Consider the following 20,641-nt stretch of genomic DNA (forward strand, 5'->3'; position numbering starts at 1 on the left):
CTGGTAGAAGGTTCTACAATCCCTCTCAGGAATGGATTAAAGAGATAAATTTTTTAAAAATCGTCAAGGCTGAGTGAGTCTAAGGAGGAGCAGCTCAAAGTTCCCCCAGCCTTATTTGGAAGGGCTGATGAGGAAGCCCCCGCTGCTGTGTGCTGCAGTCCTAGTAATGAACAAGATAACACTGGCCTGTTCCTTGGTCTAACTGCTTACTTGGTTTCCAATCCCAACATGCTCAGACAGAATTCTTGACTTGTAATGCTGACCACAACCCACCCACTCAAGTTTGCTCCTCCCTTGAGTTCTCATCTCAGTAAATGACATCACCATCTATCTTTCCTCACCCCTCAACCAGCATCAAGCTTCTTTGTTCTACCTTCTCCCAAAATAAACCCCCCGCTTCTCCTCTCCCCACTCCATGGCTCCCACTGGAGTCTATACCGTCATCTCTCACCTGGACAACCCCAACACTTCTTACTGGCTTCTTTGTTTCAATTCTTACCCTCCTGCATTCCTTACCACTCTCCACAAAGCTGCTCAAATTGTCTTTTAAAAATGAAGATCAGATCATGTCACTTTCCTGCTTGAAACCCTCAGTGGCTCCAGGCTGTTACCTAAGAGCCAAATAGCTGTAAAAAAGCATGGTGATGATAATAATAAAAAATAAACTGCTCTCAGTGAGAAATAGCTGCCATGGAAAAGAGAAAGAGGAGCATCTAGTATGTCAGGGAGATCGTTTATAACATCTTATTTCATCTTTAGAATGCCTCTCCAAGGTAGAGAGTATTTTCCACATTTTATAGGAAAAATAAATTGAGATTTAGAAAGGTTATATCACTTGCCAAAGGACATATGACCACTTTGATGAAACTAAGATTTTTTTTAATTTTAATTTTTAGTTTTTGAGACAGGGTTTTGCTCTTGTTGCCTAGGCTGGAAGTACAGTGGTGTGACCATAGCTCACTGCAATCTCTACCTCCTCAGTTCAAGCGATCCTCCCACCTCAGCCTCCCAAGTAGCTGGCACTACAGGCACGTGCCACCACACCCAGCTAATTTTTATATTGTTTTTGGTAGAGACAGGGTTTAGCCATGTCACCCAGGATGGTCTCAAACTCCAAGGCTCAAGCAATCCACCCACCTTGGCTTTCCAAAGTGTTGGGATTACGGGCATGAGTCACTGCACCTGGTTGGAAACTTGGATCTTTTTATATTTTTTAAATTTACAATAAAAATGACCTTCTGGTGCACATTTCTATGAATGTTTACACATACATAGATTTGTGTTACCATCACAACAATTAAGACACAGAACAGTGATACCACTACCCTAGACTCATACTATCCCTCTGTAGTCACGCCCTCCCCCAATCCCTAACACCTGGCAACCACTGATCTATTCTTCATCACTATAGTTTTCTCTTTTCAAGACTGTCATATAAGTAGAATCATAGAGTATGACTGACTTATCTAATTCCACATCAATCCTTTGAGATTCATCCAATTTGTTTTGTGTATCAATAGCTCCTTTTTTGTTGCTGCATAGTATTCCACTGTATGGACATACCGCAGTGCTATACATTCACCCACTGAAGGCCATTTGGGTTGTTTCTAAATAGTTTTTTGATGAATATGAATAGAACTGTTATAAACATTCAGGTACCTGTTTTGCATGAATATTTCTCTAATGTAAATACCCAGGAGTGAAATTGCTGGGTCATATTTTAAGTGTATGCTGCAGCAAAAAAAAAAAAAGAGCTTTCAGTGACCTTAGGAACCAACTTATTGATATAAAGAAATGTCAAAGAATCACCAAGAAGCAGGAGGCGGGTACAAATACACAATAATTTCAAACATTAAGAAGGATGGAGGGGTATTAATCAAGTGGTAAATAACATCACTGAAACAAGAAAATTATTTAAAGGAATACTAAGTATAGAATGAGTTATGATGAATTATGGTGATGAAAGATACAAACTCAAAGAAAATAAAGCTAGGAAACAATAGAGAGGGGCTTCAAACCTTTAGGGTGAAAAGACTTTTTATGGCCATTATAATCTGCCAAATATTTCCATAGCCTGGGCTGCTGCATTCCTACACATCACAGTTATATTGATGGGAGGGACTCTTGGGATTGTATTACAGCATACTATATAAAGAAGATTTTTGGACTGATGCATTAGTAAGGTTGCTATATGAAGAAAGTAAAATGAATTAAAAATTTGTGCTGAAATGGTTATTTGAAGTACATGAATGGGAGGAAAAAAGAAATTCTTAAGAGTTACTGAAGCTCTTAGGGAAAACATCTAACAGAAGAAATAATCTTTATACACAAATATTGTCATTACAATGTTGCCTAAACTATTTAAAAACTGAAGCATAACTATTTTCCAAAGTCTATCCTATAGAATATTAGGCATTTATGAAAGACTAGAATTAAAAATACTCTGGGAAGCAAAAACCCTGACAATTATGTAATATCAATGGAAAAACTGGTGATAGAGAGTATGTACATTATGTCTACCAGAAAAATATATATGCATGTGGGCAAATACAAGAGGGAATATACAAAGTAGCTTTTTTTGTGGCTAAGAAAAGGAAGATGGCAGATTCCAGGTATCTTCAGTGTTCTTGTTATACTGTTTCCTTGATGTAAGTTGTGATCTTAAAATGAGGTTGACACAGCAAAATATCAAATCAGATTTCTTTGCCTCATACCAAAAAAAAAAAAAAAGGTCATTATGTTGACTTTCTCAGACTTGGGGTTAGCAAGAGAAAGAGGACAATTAGACAACATCTAAGAGATTCTTTATATTAAGTCATTATGTAAATGAAGTCATATTAACACAAAATGTAAATTTGAGGCACTATCACCAGCAGCAAAAGGAATGTGCTTCCACTTTCACATTGGAAGGTGTCTGACAGGGTGTCATTTGTCACCCAACTTTTTCCTTCCAGCTGAAGCTGTAATTCTCCAATCTTAGGAGCTTTCACACTTCTGAATCCTTGCACATGAAGTTGTCTTTTCCCTAAAGGCCCTCCTCACTTCTGCCCTTCTCCCTGCCCTAAAACTCCACCCAAGAACCCTGGTCCCTAGAAGCTGACCCTGACGACATGGGGTGAAACTGAACATTTTCCTCCGTCGTTTAGCATTATCTGAAGGTATCACATTGATCTCTTGACAAGGCTCTCTTTTCCTACTTGGTACACACTTTAAGACAGAGACTAGGTTGGTTTAGCTTCAGCACATGCTAGGTGCTTTATAAACATTTATGTGATGATCAAATTAAAAGATTGCATGATTGTCCTCCTGTTTAGTCAGGTTGGTTTAAATTCCTGCCTCCACTGTCTTCTGGGACATGACTGTGTTTTGGGAACAGAACACTGAAGTAAATGAGAGGTAAACATCCAGCCCATTTTTGTTGGGTACCCAACATTTCTAGCATGCTGTACAGGTTGATTAGTAATGAATAAATAAGTAAAATTGTTATAACTATCATTCTTAGTGGCATCTTAGCTTATATGAAATACTTGTTCACTAATACCTATAAATACTTGGCAATTTTAATATTACCAACTGTAATAAGCACACAGCTCAGTATTATTACTCCATTTCCAAGATGATAATGCTGAAATAGTGCCGTTTCACAACTTGCCCAAGGTTCACATAGTTTAATATTGAATGAACTTGTGAGAGGCAGAAACCACTTCCAACTTTTGAGAATACTGTTATATTTGTAACCCTGCCATCAGAAAGTTTTAAAAATTGTGGTACATTTTCAATATTTAATTATAGACAGTTTTAAACATAAAAATACAATGCAATATCATCACGTGATTTATCAGATCACTACCAAACAGTGTTTAAAATCTATGCATTTGTTGTGCAGTTTGGGAGATGTGGTCCATTATTGGAACAAACGCAAGTTCAGAGTCACACATCTTTGTAAGGACATCTGTCATTCCTTTGAACACACTTCCTCTGGGGAATTCTCCCCATGGCAGAAGCCAAAAACATGTCTTCCCAGACTTCTTTGCAGCTAGGGCCCAGGCATGTGACCTGGGCTCCTTCAAAATGATGCCCTAGTACCAGACTTTGCCTGGCAAGTTGGTGACACAGGAAGCAGCTACCACAGGAATCCATGTGGAGGGTAGAGATGGGTCAATCCTGGGTTTAGGGCCAGCTGTGACAGAGATTCTAGCAGCAGGATCTGAGCTCCACTGCAGTGAGGTGATCTGCAGTATCTGTGCCTAGGAGCAGGAGCAGAGCTCTCCGATGCCCTGTGGGATGCCTGGGGCATCAGTCCTGGCTGCTCAGCCTCTCAGCTTGCTCCTCTAGCCCTCCTGGAGAGTCTATGAGCCACCCAGTATCCTTTGATACATTCCCTTTTTGTTTAACTATTTAGAGTGAATTTCTCTTGATTGCAGCTAAGAACCCTGCCTGACACAGCTTTTTCTTTCAATTCTTGCAATGTATCTATGGAACTTTTAGAAAAATCTGCTTTTGTGATAATTTGAAAAACACAAATTTGAGGCCTTTCTTGAATGTGAAGGCTGAACCCAACTGCCCTCCAGGCATTGTCCCTAAGAGAGGCCCTGGAGAGAGGTGAGTGTTTAGCACAGTATCTTAACACCCATCTAGGGCCATTGTCATATAGCACATGGGAACAGACCCATCCTTTCAAAACTCACCCTATGCCTTTATTTCACTGTAATGAAACATCCCCCAGGTTCTTGTAACTTGCCCAAAGTGGCTTCTCCTGAAGCAGCTGAGGTGCAGGTGTGAAGGCCAAAGTCAGACTCACATAACCTCCCCTGCAGAGCTGATGGGCCTCATGTCATCTGATGAGCAGGCCATGCTTTGAAGGCTGGGAGATAATCTTGGAAGAAAGCAAGAAAACAGGCCAGGCATGGTGGCTCACGCCTGTAATCCCAGCACTTTGGGAAGCTGAGGCGGGCAGATCACTTGAGGTCAGGAGTTCGAGACCAGCCTGGCCAACATGGTGAAACCCTGTCTCTACTAAAAATACAAAAGTTAGCAGGGCATGGTGGTACATAGCTGTAATCCCAGCTACTCAGGAGGCTGAAGCAGGAGAATCAGTTGAACCTGGGGGGTGGAGGTTGCAGTGAGCCAAGATGGTACCACTGAACTCCAGCCTGGGCAACAGAGTGAGACTCCATCTCAAAAAAAAAAAAAAAAAAAACAACAACAAAAAAAAACCAAGAAAACCCACATCCAGGCTCTAAGATATTCAGCCAATGGACTAATACGCTATTGTCATAGGGTGCTGTGACACTGAGATATTTGGAGCAGGCATCATGTATCTTTTGCAGCATATTTAAGCTTTTAAGTGGGCCCCACACACTATCCCATCCTGAGACATGCAGGAGAACAAGAACTGTGGTTTGGCCCCTTGACATCCATTCTCCCATCTTCTGGTGTCAGCACCCCAGTTTTTCTTTAAGAAACTACTTTCCTGCAGCTGCGTGCGGTTGCTCACGCCTGTAATCCCAGCACTTTGGGAGGCCGAGGTGGGTGGATCACGAGATCAGGAGATTGAGACCATCCTGGCTAACATGGTGAAACCCCGTCTCTACTAAAAATACAAAAAATTAGCCAGGTGTGGTGGCGGGCACCTGTAGTCCCAGGTACTTGGGAGGCTGAGGCAGGAGAATGGCGTGAACCTGGGAGGCGGAGCTTGCAGTGAGCCGAGATCGCACCACTGCACTCCAGCCTGGGAGACAGCAAGACTCCGTCTCAAAAAAAAAAAAAAAAAAAAAAAAGAAAGAAACTACTTTCCTGCTTTGGAGATAATCTGACAAGACCCTTAGGCATGGTTGTCTGCTTTTCCCTAACCAAGAGATGGGCAATTGCATTCTCTTTCCCAGGAATTTAGAATATTTTGCATGGTGACAAAAATAATTAAAAGTGGTTGGAGGGTACATCCCTGAGCTCAGACCAATTCCTGCTGCAAGCTGCCTGGGGTCACCCTGGGCTCCAACCATTCCAAGCTGGAGCAGGGACTGTGCCTTCCATCTGTGAGCTCCCCATGGCCTTCCCACAGAGTGTGTTTTTACTGAAGTGAGCACAGGTTAGTTACCAGGGTTTGCAACCAAAGTCCCTGACTGATAGACACCTTGTCCTCTGGAGAATAATTCCCTTAATGAAGAGCCCATGGATGTTTCTGAGGCAGAGTTCAAAAGGCCTGAGACTCAAAAAGAACCAAGAAGATCTTTTCAACTAAATCTTCCTGCAGAACAGATGCAGATGTGGGGAGATGTTATCACTACATTTGTAGGCAAAAGCAAAGAGCTTCAAGATTCATTACTAAATAGTTTTCAAATTTACCAAACGCAAAGCAGCTCAAGAGAGTGGCAATTGTGAGAAATACATTCTCTCTAATGACTGATTGGACAGCTAGGATTTTGGCCTGCTCTGGCAGCAACAGGAAGGATACAGAATGATGGAAGCCTGACCATCTAGGGAGTGAGGCTGAGTTCCTGGCCGCTGACTCATTAGCAGATTCACAGAAATGATGTTCTCCATGGTCACTCTGCCCCAAGGCAAAAGCTACTCTTTGTCAAGCTCACTTTAAGCCTGTATGAAAGAGGCACATCTTGCTGCAGAGGGGTGTCAAGGTTGTCTTACTGAGTCCCAATTATACACATCTCCAAGGCAGAAGCAGATATGGAAGCAGAAGCCCTGAAAACATTAAGCTATTTTCCAACTTAGCCAATAACTTTGATACCACTCACATCACAGCTGCAGAAAAACATTCTGTCCCTTTGCAAATAGCTTTCTGTCAAAGAGCCGCGTGCTCTTACAGATGAGAAAATCACTGAAGCAGAGCCTGCAGGAGATAGCAACACCACCCATATGCATTCAGAAGGAGCATTGTGGAGAGGAAGAGAATTTCCTAGAGTAATGTGGGTCTCCCCAACCCCAGATAAATGACTTGTTTTAGGTATTCTGTTATATTCTCTCCCACTCAGGCACTTTGGCCTTGGAACAGATAGATTCTTACCAGGTTGCCATGAGAAACAAAAAAAGTTAATAGAATCATGTCAGGATTATTAGTGGCATCTTTAAAAATATACCTCATCTCTCTACATTGTGTTGTGTGATGCCTTATGTATTCAGTGTGAAACAATAATAATCATGACATCTTCCTATGAGGTAGGTATTATTATTATTATTATTATTATTATTATTATTATTATTCCCATGGGCTAGATAAGGATGATGAGGCACAGAAAGATTAATAACACTCACCCCAGTTTACACAGCTAGTAAGTTCATGTAGCTGAGATATAAATATGACATATGAGATAAGCCTGGGCCTTTCGCTTCAGAGGTTGTGCTCTTAACCACTAGACAATACTGCCCCTCGAAAGCTTTATGGGAAGCTACCTGGAAAGCATGCGGTTGATGAAAACATTCTTAATCCACCAGAAAATAAATAGGAAGCAGCTTGTTTCATACTCCATGATGTTTCTTGGTCTGTTTTCTGTTTAGCAGTAAAGGATTTAGGATGCTATTAAGAATTCCTTAAGCCAAAATTGACCAGTCATTCTTGATGTAATCACCATAGAAGACTTTTTCTAAGTGTGTGTTCTGTCTATTTCAAACTACCTCTTCTGTCAGTTTCTTAGATGTGACAAGTTATATAAATGGGGAGCAAAGCAGCCACATCTCTGGAAATGCTAAATGGTGCTGCTTCAAGTACATTGTCATTATTAAGCAAAGTTGCCACTCACTGCACCCATCAATCTTCCACCCTCTATTGAGACTTCTACACCCGCCTCCTGCAGAAGAGAAAATGGGAATTGCTTCAGCCACGTTATTAAATCTAAATTGGACAATAACTTGGAACTCTACCGGTGCTCAGTAGATGACAAAATACTTAATGCAGGTTTATAAAAATGCTCCCCAAGCATTGACTTAAAGGAATAAAGTTCACTCTGCTATTTTGTCCTTGGAGGTATGTAATATAGGTCATGGATGGTGATGTAGGTCATGGTGAGATAAATTGGATTTAGACATGAGCAAGCTGACCTTGTATGTAGGTACCATGTCCTTCACCTCCTATGCCTCACACAGTACTGAGCAAACAGAGGTATTTTATATATGTATTTGTTTATCTGCAAATAAGTTATTAGCAAATTTCTGGATTTCCACTTAGCATAAATATTCCTTGTTCTATACGGTAGTTTTTAGAAAGTGGGAAACTAAAAATAATTTAGTGTCTTTAAGGAACAGGAACTGAATGTGAATCAGCCAAGCTAGCATGATACTAGGATGTATGTCTTATGAATATTAAACAGATAAGTACTTATAGGTAAGGTACGATTATTAGCTTTTGGAAAGCTAGGCTATTAGCCTGAATACTGGTGAGAGTTAGAAATAACTTTCTGGGGTGATGTGTGGACTTGGTCTTATAATTTTATTGTCATCCTTCCCAGGAAGCTGTGTTGTCTTTGGCAAGCTGACATTGCTTGACAGACTATGAGGACAACTTGAGCAGGAAAAGATGTCAGTTTCCTATATAGAAATACACTGGGTAAAACTCACACAACATCCTTCCCGAAAGTACACAATAGGCCAGGGACTTATTGGTATGTTCAGTTCTAGCTCCATATTTTAGGAAGAAAAAGGAATTAAGAGACAGGACTAGCTGGATTTCCTAGGCCAACTAAGAATCCCTAAGCCTAGCTGGGAAGGTGATCACATCCACCTTTAAACATGGGGCTTACAACTTAGCTCACACCCGACCAATCAGGTAGTAAAGAGAGCTCACTAAAATGCTAATTAGGCATAAAGGAGGTAAAGAAATAGCCAATCATCTATCGCCTGAGAGCACAGCGTGAGGGACAATGATCGGGATATAAACCCAAGCATTCAAGCCGGCAATGGCTACCCTCTTTGGTTCCCCTCTCTTTGTATGGGAGCTCTGTTTTCACTCTATTAAATCTTGCAACTGCACTCTCTTCTGGTCCGTGTTTGTTGCCGTCCACCACTGCTGTTTGCCACCCTCACAGACCTACTGCTGACTTCCATCTCTCCAGATCTGGCAGGGTGTCCACTGTACTCCTGATCCAGCAAGGCTCCCATTGCTGCTCCTGATCGGGTATTCCTGCACAGCTGAGTGCCCGGGTTCACCCTAATCAAGCTGAACACTAGTCACTGGGTTCCATGGTTCCCTTCCATGACCCATGGCTTCTAATAGAGCTATAACACTCACTGCATGGCCCAAGATTCCATTCCTTGGAATCCGTGAGGCCAAGAACCCCAGGTCAGAGAACACGAGGCTTGCCACCATCTTGGAAGCAGCCTGCCACCATCTTGGAAGCAGCCTGCCACCATCTTGGGAGCTCTGGGAGCAAGGATCTCTGCCGCCAGTAACAGAATGGCTAGACTGTGAAGGGAAGACAGGAAGGAGGGCTCTCAATTTAAGGGTTGGAAAAGAGAAGCTGGATAACAGAAATGTCTGGGGGACTTCTAAACTTAACTCTTTTTTTTGAAAGGAAGAAGATGACCTATTTTCCCTCCATCCCTACTGAGGGAAATGAAAAGAGTGAGTAAGCATAAATGCTGACAGAGGAAATGTAGTTTGACACTGGAAAATAACTTTCTGACAACCAGGGAGTGAGGTATGTTAGTAAAAGAGAGAAGGAAAGTCTACAGTCAAGCCAGACAACCATGAAATCCAGAATGCTAAAGAATTGTGTGAAATCCACAAAAATGGGCTGAAGCACTCCTTTAAAAGTCAGAGAGAACTTCAAGTTCTGCAATCCTAAGAATCAAGACCTGGCCTCCAGCTTTCCTGAGAAGGTAACAAGGCAAACAGAAACATAAGTGCCTTTGATTCTGTTCCCAAGTCACAGCTGAAGGGGCACTCAGAAACTCCAAAGCCACCACAAACATGTTCTTATAATAGGCATAACAAATATTTATGGCCTCTTTGCTCTGAGCTAGGCATTAAAGCCTTATCTTTAATCCTCACAATGAACCTATGATATCAATACTATTATTATTATTATTATCCCTATTTTATGGATGAGAACACTAAGGCTGAATGAGATTGCCTAAGACACAGTTGGCACATGGAAAAACTAGATCTTGAACTCAGATCTATGTAGTAAAAAGGGTTCCCAGCTCATTTGAACCTCAACGCAGGGTCTGTAAGCTGTTTTGGAAGTGACCTGAGACAATCAGTCAGTAACCATGCAATGCTCACTGTACTAGTACTAAGCTTATATATTTCTGCCAAGGCTAGGAAGTTTTACCTAATGCTCACTGCTCAAAACCATCAGTTGGTTTTGAATTGATGAAGCCACTTATGATCTAAGTGTTTAAGTGGAATTTGTTTAGAATCTTCTAAACTTAAATGAGTAAACAAAGTAACAGTTGTGAATAACAAAGTAACTTCATGCTTCACTGTCTGAAGACTGTGCCGTGGAAAAATAAGGCAAAAAGGCTTCCAGGCATCAAAGGCTCCTTGGTGTGAACTGGAGATCAGGATGTCCATCTGAAGAGATGACCTTGGATATTCAATGACAGGAGTCTGACCTCAAATTTCTAAACCAGAGGTTGGCAAACCATGGCCCGCAGGCCAAATCTGGCCCATAGCCTGCATTGTAAATAAAGTTTTATTGAAACACAGTCACATTCATTTACATATTATTTGTTGCTGCTTTTGCACTACAACAGCAGAGTTGAGTACTAGCAACAGAGTCCATATGGCCCACAAAGCCAAAAAGAAAGTACTATGTGGCTCTTTACAAAAAGTTTGCTCTTCCCCTGCTCTGAATATCTCTAGTGGCAAAAACAAACAAACAAACAAACAAAAAGCAACAATAACAACACAAGGCTCTGAAGAGTAATTGGAAGACCTAAAACTTGGTGTGAGAGAGCCACAAATAAGAAAAAAAAACGACAGGCAAGGACCTAAAAGGAGCGAGAACAAAAGGGATGGGGAAAAAAAAGTGACCACTAAAAGTTGCAGTGGCAGAGGGACACGAATGACTGTCCCCACAGTGTCGGGTGTGGCCACTATCCATGAAGCATCTCTGTATTCCGAGTACTTTCAGGTACATTGCCTCATTGAATCTCTCAACAATCCACCTTTGTATTTCCATTTAACAGATGAGAAAACAGAGACTTAGAGAGCTTGAGTAACTTGTCCTGAGTCAGCAGGGCCAGAAATCAAACTTAGCAGGTTGACGCTGACCCCACTCTATTCTCCTGCCCCAGTACTCCAGCCATCAGTGTTCACCCCCTGCTCAAAGGATGAAAGCACTATACTCTTCACTCATTCAAACAATTACCTACACTGGAATTTTAATAGTAATTATCTACTTTCCATCTGGGTGAGAACTTGGTGACAGCTAATCATCTCTTCCAGTGGTGGTGCATGCTAACATTTCATTGACACTCCTGAAATAAAGCATCTTGGAGGCTCTGTCAGAGCTAGAAGCTCAGCCTCAGGGTCCCAATTAGCAACTAAGTTGTATGGTTTGAGCTTTGGCCAATCTAAAAGGTGTCTGCTTCTAGGAAGCACAATCAGCTGGCGCTAATGTAGTCACTGTAACATCACCTCTGTCTGCCTGGAGCAGGCACAAGGCTGAGTCCAAGGCGGTGATGCTGAAAAGCTGCAGAACTGCAGACCTCGAAACTGACTCAGCTTCACCAGGGAGCACGCCTGAGGACATCCATGCTGGAGGGGGTGGAGGGGAGCAGCGCCCAGGAGGGCATGATGAGCTGCCCGCCACAGCCAGATGCTCCGGGATCTGCTGACTTGCTCAGCCAAGTTCATGGGGTGCTTAAAACTCTGGGCACTGTTGCAAAGAATTCACATATATCAACTCTCAGCCTTTGATATAGGTATTATAATCATTCCCCTTTGACAGACAAGGGAATTGAAGCAAACCAAAGTGAAGTAACTCCCCCTGGGTTACACCGTCAGTAAGTGGAGGGACAGATTACAAACCTGGGCAGTCAGGCTCCAGAGACCAAGTATGAACCCCTGTGCTGTAAATGGCCCCTCCTTGCCTGCCCTTCTAAGAGGCTGTAAGCTCTGCAGTGGTTAAAAGTCTAGATACTGCAGTCAACCAGGCCTGCTCTGAATCCCAACTCTGTCCTTTCCAGATGTGTGAACCGGGACAAATGATTTAACCTCTCTGAACCTCTGTTGTTTTCTCCTTAAAATGGTTACCTGCACTGATGATGGCATCTATACCTAGAGCTCTGGTGGAGGGTGGAAGTGACGCAGCAGCCATTTTGCACACATGATACCTGCTGACTCATCTCGTAGTGTGAGAATGTGGTCAGGTTTGCAATGCTCCACCTTCCCCCGGATCCTCCTTCACCTGCTCCAACTCCTGGGCCAGGTGTGTGAGTTTGGCCTCATGACCAAAAGCAGCCACCCACACCACATACCCAGGGCAAAGGCAAACAAGAACGGGCTCAGGTCTTCATCTTTCCCTGTGGGGCTCCAGCTCATGGTTGGGGTTCGACCTGGTCCTTGCTCTTCCCACTTCACCTCCATCTTCCCTTCCTGACCACTTGCCCTCTGGCCTGCAGACTCCAGCATCAGACATGAAGGCAGTAGCCTTGCAGAGAGTCCAGTCCCTATGAGTGTGGAAGGTCAAGTCATACATATGGATGTGTATGTGTATATCTATGCACGTATATATGCACACATATGCATATGTATAAACACACACACACACATACACACACACAGACATCCAAGTGGATCTACTTTTCTGATTGAACCCTGACTAATATATCCTGGCTGGGTTACTTCTGGAATAGTTTCCTGATCGTTTTGCTTCCAAAAGCATTCACCCTTGACATTTTCACTTCATTTTTCTTACATTTACTAATAGCACTTCAGTGGTTGGAAGCCATGGCCAAGGCCATCTATTATGAATACGATGCTAATAAGGAAAAGTATTCCATTGGAGCTTCCATTTACTGCATGCTACTAAACCCTATGTGAGAAGTTTTTCATACATTATTTTATTCAATCCTCATTATTTTATTTAACCCTATGGAAGCAGAGTTTTTTCATACTTATAAATGGAGCAATAGAGGCTCAGAGAAGCCAGGTAACTCACCTCACAGTGTATATGACTCAAATAGTAAGTGCTTAACCACTGTATAGTGTCTCTCACTATAAGTGATCCATCCAGAACACAAGTCTAGAGCTAAATGCACATTTATATAAAATTTTAACCCCTCTTCTTCCAGAAATACTAAAGTACTTTAAAAGGAAAACATAACAGGAGGTAGGATGATTAGGGATAAAAACAGAACAGGAAAACATTAGAAAAAAGGACGGTACCATGTACCTGTGAGTAGTGGAATTTAGGTCTACATAGGAGATTATACTCATTAGCAGAAACTTCTATACAAAACCTTTACCCAAAAATAGGCAACCAAAAAATGAATCCATTGAAGGCAAGTTGTCATGTTTTCTTTTAGGCCATGCATACAATTTATTCTCATAGGTAACAGAAAAACAACAAATGAGGCATGAGAGGAGAAGAAAACAACGTTTGCCATATTTTAGGAATTGGAAACACTGCTATATTAAAAACAAAACTACAACTTAGTCTTTTATCATTGTTGAAAATCATTCTTGGATCATTAAACTCTTCTTGTCTCTGGTTTCTCTCTTAAATGAGGGAGAATAATATACTAACTAGGCTTAAAATATTACCATAAAGAAAGTTAGGTTCTAATAAATGGGTTTCCTATGTCCAGAATCTTAAGACCACAATTCCATAGCTCTAGCCCACGAACTATACACAACCCTTTTCACTTCTGGCTTAAGACAGGAAGAAAAAAAAAAAGTCATCTTGGTGGAAGAATGTAGAAAATCCCTACCATTCAATGGGTTTATCATACACTCATTCATTTTACATGCATTTATTGATCACCTACTCCGTGCCAGGCACGGTTCTAGGTGCTGGGGATACAGCAGTGAACAAAGATAAAAATCTGAGCTCACACCCTAGCCATGCTATTTCTGCATTTGGAAGAATCTCTTTGTTATAAATATGATTCTGACATACCTTAGTGAACAAAGTCAATGTTTCAATAATAGTAACATGCTTGTAGTACCTTACAGTTTATACAAAACACTTTCATGTAACTGTAGCATTTATTTCTCAAAAAAGCCTTAGGGATTTTGCAAGAAATGTGACAGACCATTTAAATAAAGACACAAATAATATTATGTTACCAAAAGAAACATGAACAAAGGGCATGAATAGATATTTCTCCATAAGAAAAAAACCTCAATGACTAATAAACATGAAAAAGTGTTCAATTTCCTTATTGCTCAAATGTATGTTATTCATAGCTGAAAGGTAACAATTTTTACCTGCAAAAGTAGCAAAAATAAAAGGAAGAGCAAGAGATTGTGCTGTATCAAAAGATTGTACCCTTTGAAACAGTAATTTTCTTTTAGTAATCCATTCAACGGAAAAACAAGAAATTTGGTTTTAAGTTTTCAAATAGCAAAAAATTTTAAAGCTTTAAATTACCCATTACTATGAAATCTAAATTAAGGACCTAACATTAAAAAAATTATATACAGAGTCATTCCTTGAGGCCACTAGTCCATGCTGTCAGACAGAGTGCCTTTAAAATCAAAGGATTCTAAAATACATTTGGATCCTCCAAACATGTTTTTTTGTTTGTTTTTTTTTTTTGAGATAGAGTTTCACTCTTGTTGCCCAGGCTGGAATACAATGGCATGATCTTGGCTCACTGCAACCTCTGCCTCCCAGGTTTAAATGATTCTCCTGCCTCAGCCTCCCAGGTAGCTCGGATTACAGGCGCCGGCCACCACTCTCAGCTAATTTTTGTATTTTTAGTAGAGACGAGGTTTCACCATGTTGGCCAGGCTAGTTTTGAACTCCTGACCTCGTGATCCCAAAGTGCTGGGATTACAGGTGTGAGCCACTGTGCCCGGCCACACATGTTTAATGGCACTGTACAATTAAATGTCTAAGGGGCATTCTACTAAAATTGTGGTTACCACTGTGCCTCACCAACATGCCAGTCACAAACTAAATGTGCAGGGCCGGGCACAGTGGCTCATGCCTATAATCCCAGCACTTTGGGAGGCCGAGGTGGGCGGATCACTTGAGGTCAGGAGTTCAAGACCAGCCTGGCCAACATAGTGAAACCCCGTCTCTACTAAGAGTACAAAAATTAGCTGGGCGTGGTGGTGCACGCCTGTAATTCCAGCTACTCAGGAGGCTGAGGCAGGACAATTGCTTGAACTAGGGAGGCAGAGATTGCAGTGAGCCAAGATCGTGCCACTGTACTCCAGCCTGGGTGACAGAGAAATAAATTAATTAATTAAATAAAATTTAAAAAATCTTAAAAAAATACAAACTAAATATGCAGGACAGGAAATGTATAAACAAGGATGAAACTGTGATTGACAAAACAAACTGAAATTTGGGATAGTTGAATTTTTCTAAGCTTTTTTTCCTAGAATCCCACATTATAAAAGTCATTTACTTTGGTATCTCCCTACTACTGTATAACTCTCTAGTGCTTTATCACTTGATACATGATCATGATATTAATGGTTTTTAAAGTTCTACTATATGCCAGGCACCATATTAAAGGCATTAACTCTTCTCAACAAGCCCCAAAAGTTGCTACAATTATTATCATATCTACATTTTACTGGGGAGGAAAGAGCCTCGAAGAGGGGAGTAACTTGCCCAAGGTCCTGCAGCCAGTACTGGCACAGTTAAGATTTAAATACAGTTGCCTAATTTGGCTCTAAATGCCATGTCCCTTAACCATTGGGCCTAATCTTTTACCTTGTATTATAGTTATTTGAGTTACTTGGGGTGTTCCTTATCTGTCTAATTAGATCCTAAGTTCCCTTAGGGTAATAATTTTTTCACTCAACTTTGAGTACAATGTATTGCATCCAGCTGGCACTCGATAAATGCTTGGTTCATACATGAGCAAGGCTGCAGTTATTTTGAAGTCACTTCTGACTCCTCTCTTTCAGTCCATTTCCAATTTTTCACCAACCTAAATTAACTCCTTTTTTCCCCCATTTTCCAGGCCTTCATTTTGTTTGCTTTCATCTTGACTTATCCCCTCCGGCCAGACTCCTACAATAGCCTCCTGACCATTCTCTGTGAGTCCAATCCATCCTACACACTCATCACCCTAAAATACGATTTAGTCAGATTTCCCCAGCCGACAGGCCTAGACACAAGACTAAAACCCTCAGACTCTAGGGTGACCAGGTAGGTGTAGAGATCCTAGGCCAACACCTTTGACCAAAAGCAACCTCCTAGAGTGACATTCACAGCTTAGGCTTAAACTGAGAGCGCTTCCAAGGACATGGGAGTTTCAGTGCTAAAACTGGGAAAGTCCCAGGCAAACCAGGGTGAGTTGGTTTTGCTACATCCTCCTCCCCATCTCCAAAGCCCCTTCTCTTTACAGCCATGTACTCTACAAATAACACCATTTTCTACTGGTGCCAGGCAAATTGGGAAGCACAGATTTGGATCAACTCAAACCCTCACTCAAAGACATTCAATAGCTCATGCTGCCTCACATAAAATCTGCTATACTTCACCTAACATTCAAAGCCCTTGGCAGTCTGACAAGGACAAATCTCATCTTCAACTCCTTCCCATCCTGACCCCTCTCTCATTCTCCAGTTTTTATTATCCCACGACTGTATCTTTCCCATTTTCCTCATTTGCCCCTGACTCCACCATCTGGATGGCTTTACTGTCCCCATCCACCTGTCCAGAGCCACCTCCAAGGATTCGGTTAGTGCAAAGCCCCTTCCCAAGCCCAAACCAGTCATCTGTGAAGTCTTCACAGACGACCTCAACTTAGGACAATTATTTGGACTACTCCTTTGTCAAGGAGACCAGCACGTGAGACCTCCTTCATCTCTGGTACTGATGTGTTGAGCTGATATTTTTCTCTTCCAAAACTTAGTTATCCTTCACTATGTTTATATCTTTGTCTTACCAAAATGCAACCTCTCTGATGACAGGTATTACACCTTATATTTATGTCTCCCTCAGTACTCAGTAATTTCTCACACATTTCTTACACACAATGAACATGCAATCAATATATGTTTTCAGATAACTGATTAACATTGTCCTCATCCCCCTCGCCTCCACCATGTGAGGAATTCAGCAATCCTTCTACACAGATAAAGGCTCCATTTGTTTTTCTTGTGGGTAAATTGCCTTCTCATTATTCTGCCTCCAGAAACTTAGCTCTCTTAAATAAATGCCTGGTAGGAGGACAGAACTGAGAGCAAAGTAAGAACATTTCCCTTCTCTGGTGAGAAGAAAAGGGCACAATCATAGCACAGGATGATAGTGGAGGGCTCACGGGAAGAAAATATAACAAAAACGTGAAGAAACCACCTTTAAGAAATTTTGGAGAGGGAAAGAGCATTGCAAATATACAAAATGATAGAGAAAACATAGGGAGAAAAGGACTTCACAGGAAAGGAAAAAATAAAACAAAGCTATTTATTAGAAGACAGCCAGAGAAATGAGCTGAGAGCCCAGCACAAATGCTCAGCAATACCCCTCATGGGAGGGGCAGCCCCTGTTACCCCTTCCAGGAGGTGCCTCCTCCACGCAGACAGCTGGCCTCAAGAGCACATCTGGGGAGGCCCTTCCTTGCCCAGACAGCACGCGGCCCCATTTACTGGACTAAAGGCAGGCATAGTGAACCAATGGAAAATTTTCTTCAGGCAACATAACCTCAGCATAAAAAAAAATATCAATCTATTTGCCTCCCAGCCAAAGAGAAATCAAGTTAGACAAAGGAAATTAGGCAATAAGTTTAATGTGACTGCAGCTGCAGTTGTGAAATAAACCTAATGTACTCTGACTCTCCTTCCCATGTGCTCTCTGGGTTGCACAGGCCACTTTTTGGGGAGGGCACCAAGGAAGTGTTCTGCAGGTACATGAAATCTTTTAAACTTAGAAGTCAACTGACTGCTGGTGTTCAAAGAAGCCCCACTGCCAGCAGGATATGCTTGAAACCGATGTCCAGGAGCGTTGGCAGATTTGCAGGGATGCAGGCCACGCTCCTGCCAAGTGCACACTTGTAACCAAGGACAGAATGCGCAATCTGTTGCCCTGGAGCACAGAAAGAAAGCACTAACCTCAGATTCACAGATCTTAGCTTCTATGTGATGAGCTCAGAAAATCAAGGGCCAATGCGAATGTTTGTGAAAATGTGGCTATAAAGAGAGGTACTGATTAATAGGAAACAGTTATATGTCTATGTGCGTGTGTCTTGGGTGGGTGCCAATATTATATATTTCAAGCATTGTGTGTGCGGTTAGAATGATGAAATACGTGCAGACTCAAGTCACCAAATAGGTGAATATTCGGCTGTGTCGCCTCAGGGGACTGGAAGGGGTCTGGAGCTTTGTTGTCTTCACTTCCTCCCCCATTCATATTCCAGCTCCAGGCCCACCCCTGCCAGGGTTGCAGGGCCCACCAGCTTTGTTTCTGTGGCTCTGGTGTGGTAGATCTGGTCAGAGAACCCACTGTCTGATTGGTGGGCTTACTCTGGCAGTGAGAGCTAGTACCTGGACCATCAGAATCACAATTCAAAAGACAACTGGGGCAAAAAGCAAAAGCCACCACTTCTCTGCTGGCCATGCCCTTACCACCCTGGTAAAGAATGGGATTATGCCTAATCACTTTGTCTCCACCACCTACTATGTCTCTGGCACATGGTAGGGCCCAAGATATGGTTTGTAATGGCTGAATAAATGAATGTGGAACAAGATAAAAGCATAAGAGAGAGAAATGGGAATTTCTGCATTTAGTTGCAAAGGCCCATAAATTTATACGTTTCTATTGAGAAAATGTGAGAGCATTTCATATAAAACAAACCAGGGGATAGATGAATGCCCCAGAGAAACTCTCACACATATATACAAAGACATACAGTGTCTGAAATAGTGAAAAATTGCAAACAACCTGAATGTCCACCAGCAAAAGAATATATCATCAATTATGGTATATTCATAAAGCATAATAGTATAAAGCAGTGAAAATAAAAAAACCACATTTCAACATAGATAAATCTAACAATTATAATGTTGAGAAAGTTGCACAATACATATAGTACAATTCATATGAAGCTAAGAATACACAAAAATTATATATAATATATATTATGTAAATATATAGTCATGCCTTAGAAATGCACCTATATATATATAGTAAATAGAAAGAAATGCATGGAAATGATAAACACCAAATTGGGTAGTTGTTGAGATGAGGAAGGAGACAGGCCTGGGAAGGTTAATACACAAGTGTTAGCTATAGTACTCTTTGTACCTTTTGTTTATATTAAATATTGTACTTTTTAAAAAAATTATGGACGTTGTAAGTTACTGTCTACTCAAAGAGACTTAAAACACAGAAACCAGCCATTTACTATAATCCTAGTCATTTTAACATAAACATCAGAGAAGACCCAATATAAGTTTTTTAATTACTCACTGAATAAATGTGGTAAGATATTCAAACCTCATGCAATTGCTCACAATTACTGTTTTGGATGTACAAGGTGTATTCAAGGAAAATGTTATTTTAAAAAATTGCAAAGTTCTGCATTTAATTATAAAACTAATCAGCCTCAGATATTCCTGCTCTGATGGTATTACAGGCAGGAACATGTCTAGTTCTGGGACTCACATGTTTGCAGGACATGGACAAGTGTGTGTCAAGAGAAGGGTGGATACAGGAGAGGTCAGGTGATTGGGATTTTGCTACTCATGGGCCTAAGGATCTGGTGAAGAACCTGGGAATCCATATCTGGTGATGGGAAGGCTTACTGGGAGCCAGTAACTTTCTTCAAACATTTGAATGAATAAATGAAAGGACTATCATATGAGAATGTAGATATATTCTGCATAATTCCAAAGGCTAAACATGTGAAGGTCTAAGAGGAGATAATTTTAATGCAACCAGAAGAAGAATGTCCTCATAATTACAGGCATCCCAGAAAGAAAAGGACTGTTTGGTTAGGTAGTAAGTTCCCTGAAACTAGCAGCAATCAAGCAAAGGTATAGAGAACTCCATTTGGGGGCGCTAATTGGACTTTTTTAGTTCCAAAGTGTTATCTAATTTTATGACTCTAAACCAGTGTTTCTCAAACTTGAGTGTGTATCAGAAGCCGCTGGAGGGCTTGGGAAAACCTAGATTGCTGGAACCAACTACAGGAGTTTTTGAGGCAGCAGCTCTGGGGTAGGGTCTGAGAGTTGGCATTTCTGAAAAATTCCCAGATGATGTTGATGTTGCTAGTCCAGAAACCATGCTTTGAGAACCTCTGCTCTTAAAAAAAAAATAGTAAATCAACTTAAGTTTTTTGGTGTTTTGGTCAGGCCATTAAAATGCAGGCCCTTCCTTGAATTACTCACTGCCTCCAAATAGACTTCCACTGTAGTCTTCTAGAGGGAGGGGACCACTTTTATAGGTGATTTCTTCTAAGGCCTTTATAGGAAGACAAGGTTCTTTGCTGTACAATAAGCATATAAGGACCCTGGGATTCTTTTCAGATACTGATATTAAATTTCTTTTCAGCCATT

The 20,641-nt window shown here is 41.3% G+C and overlaps 1 protein-coding gene across 7 annotated transcripts in view; it reads right to left on the minus strand.

The window, feature by feature from the left end:
* DPYS (dihydropyrimidinase) overlaps positions 1–20,641 on the minus strand; it is an 87,625-nt gene that overhangs the window by 14,680 nt on the left and 52,304 nt on the right. The window lies entirely within an intron of this gene.

The sequence above is a fragment of the Homo sapiens genome, chromosome 8 (assembly GCF_000001405.40).
Source record: "Homo sapiens chromosome 8, GRCh38.p14 Primary Assembly".
NCBI lineage: Eukaryota > Metazoa > Chordata > Mammalia > Primates > Hominidae > Homo > Homo sapiens.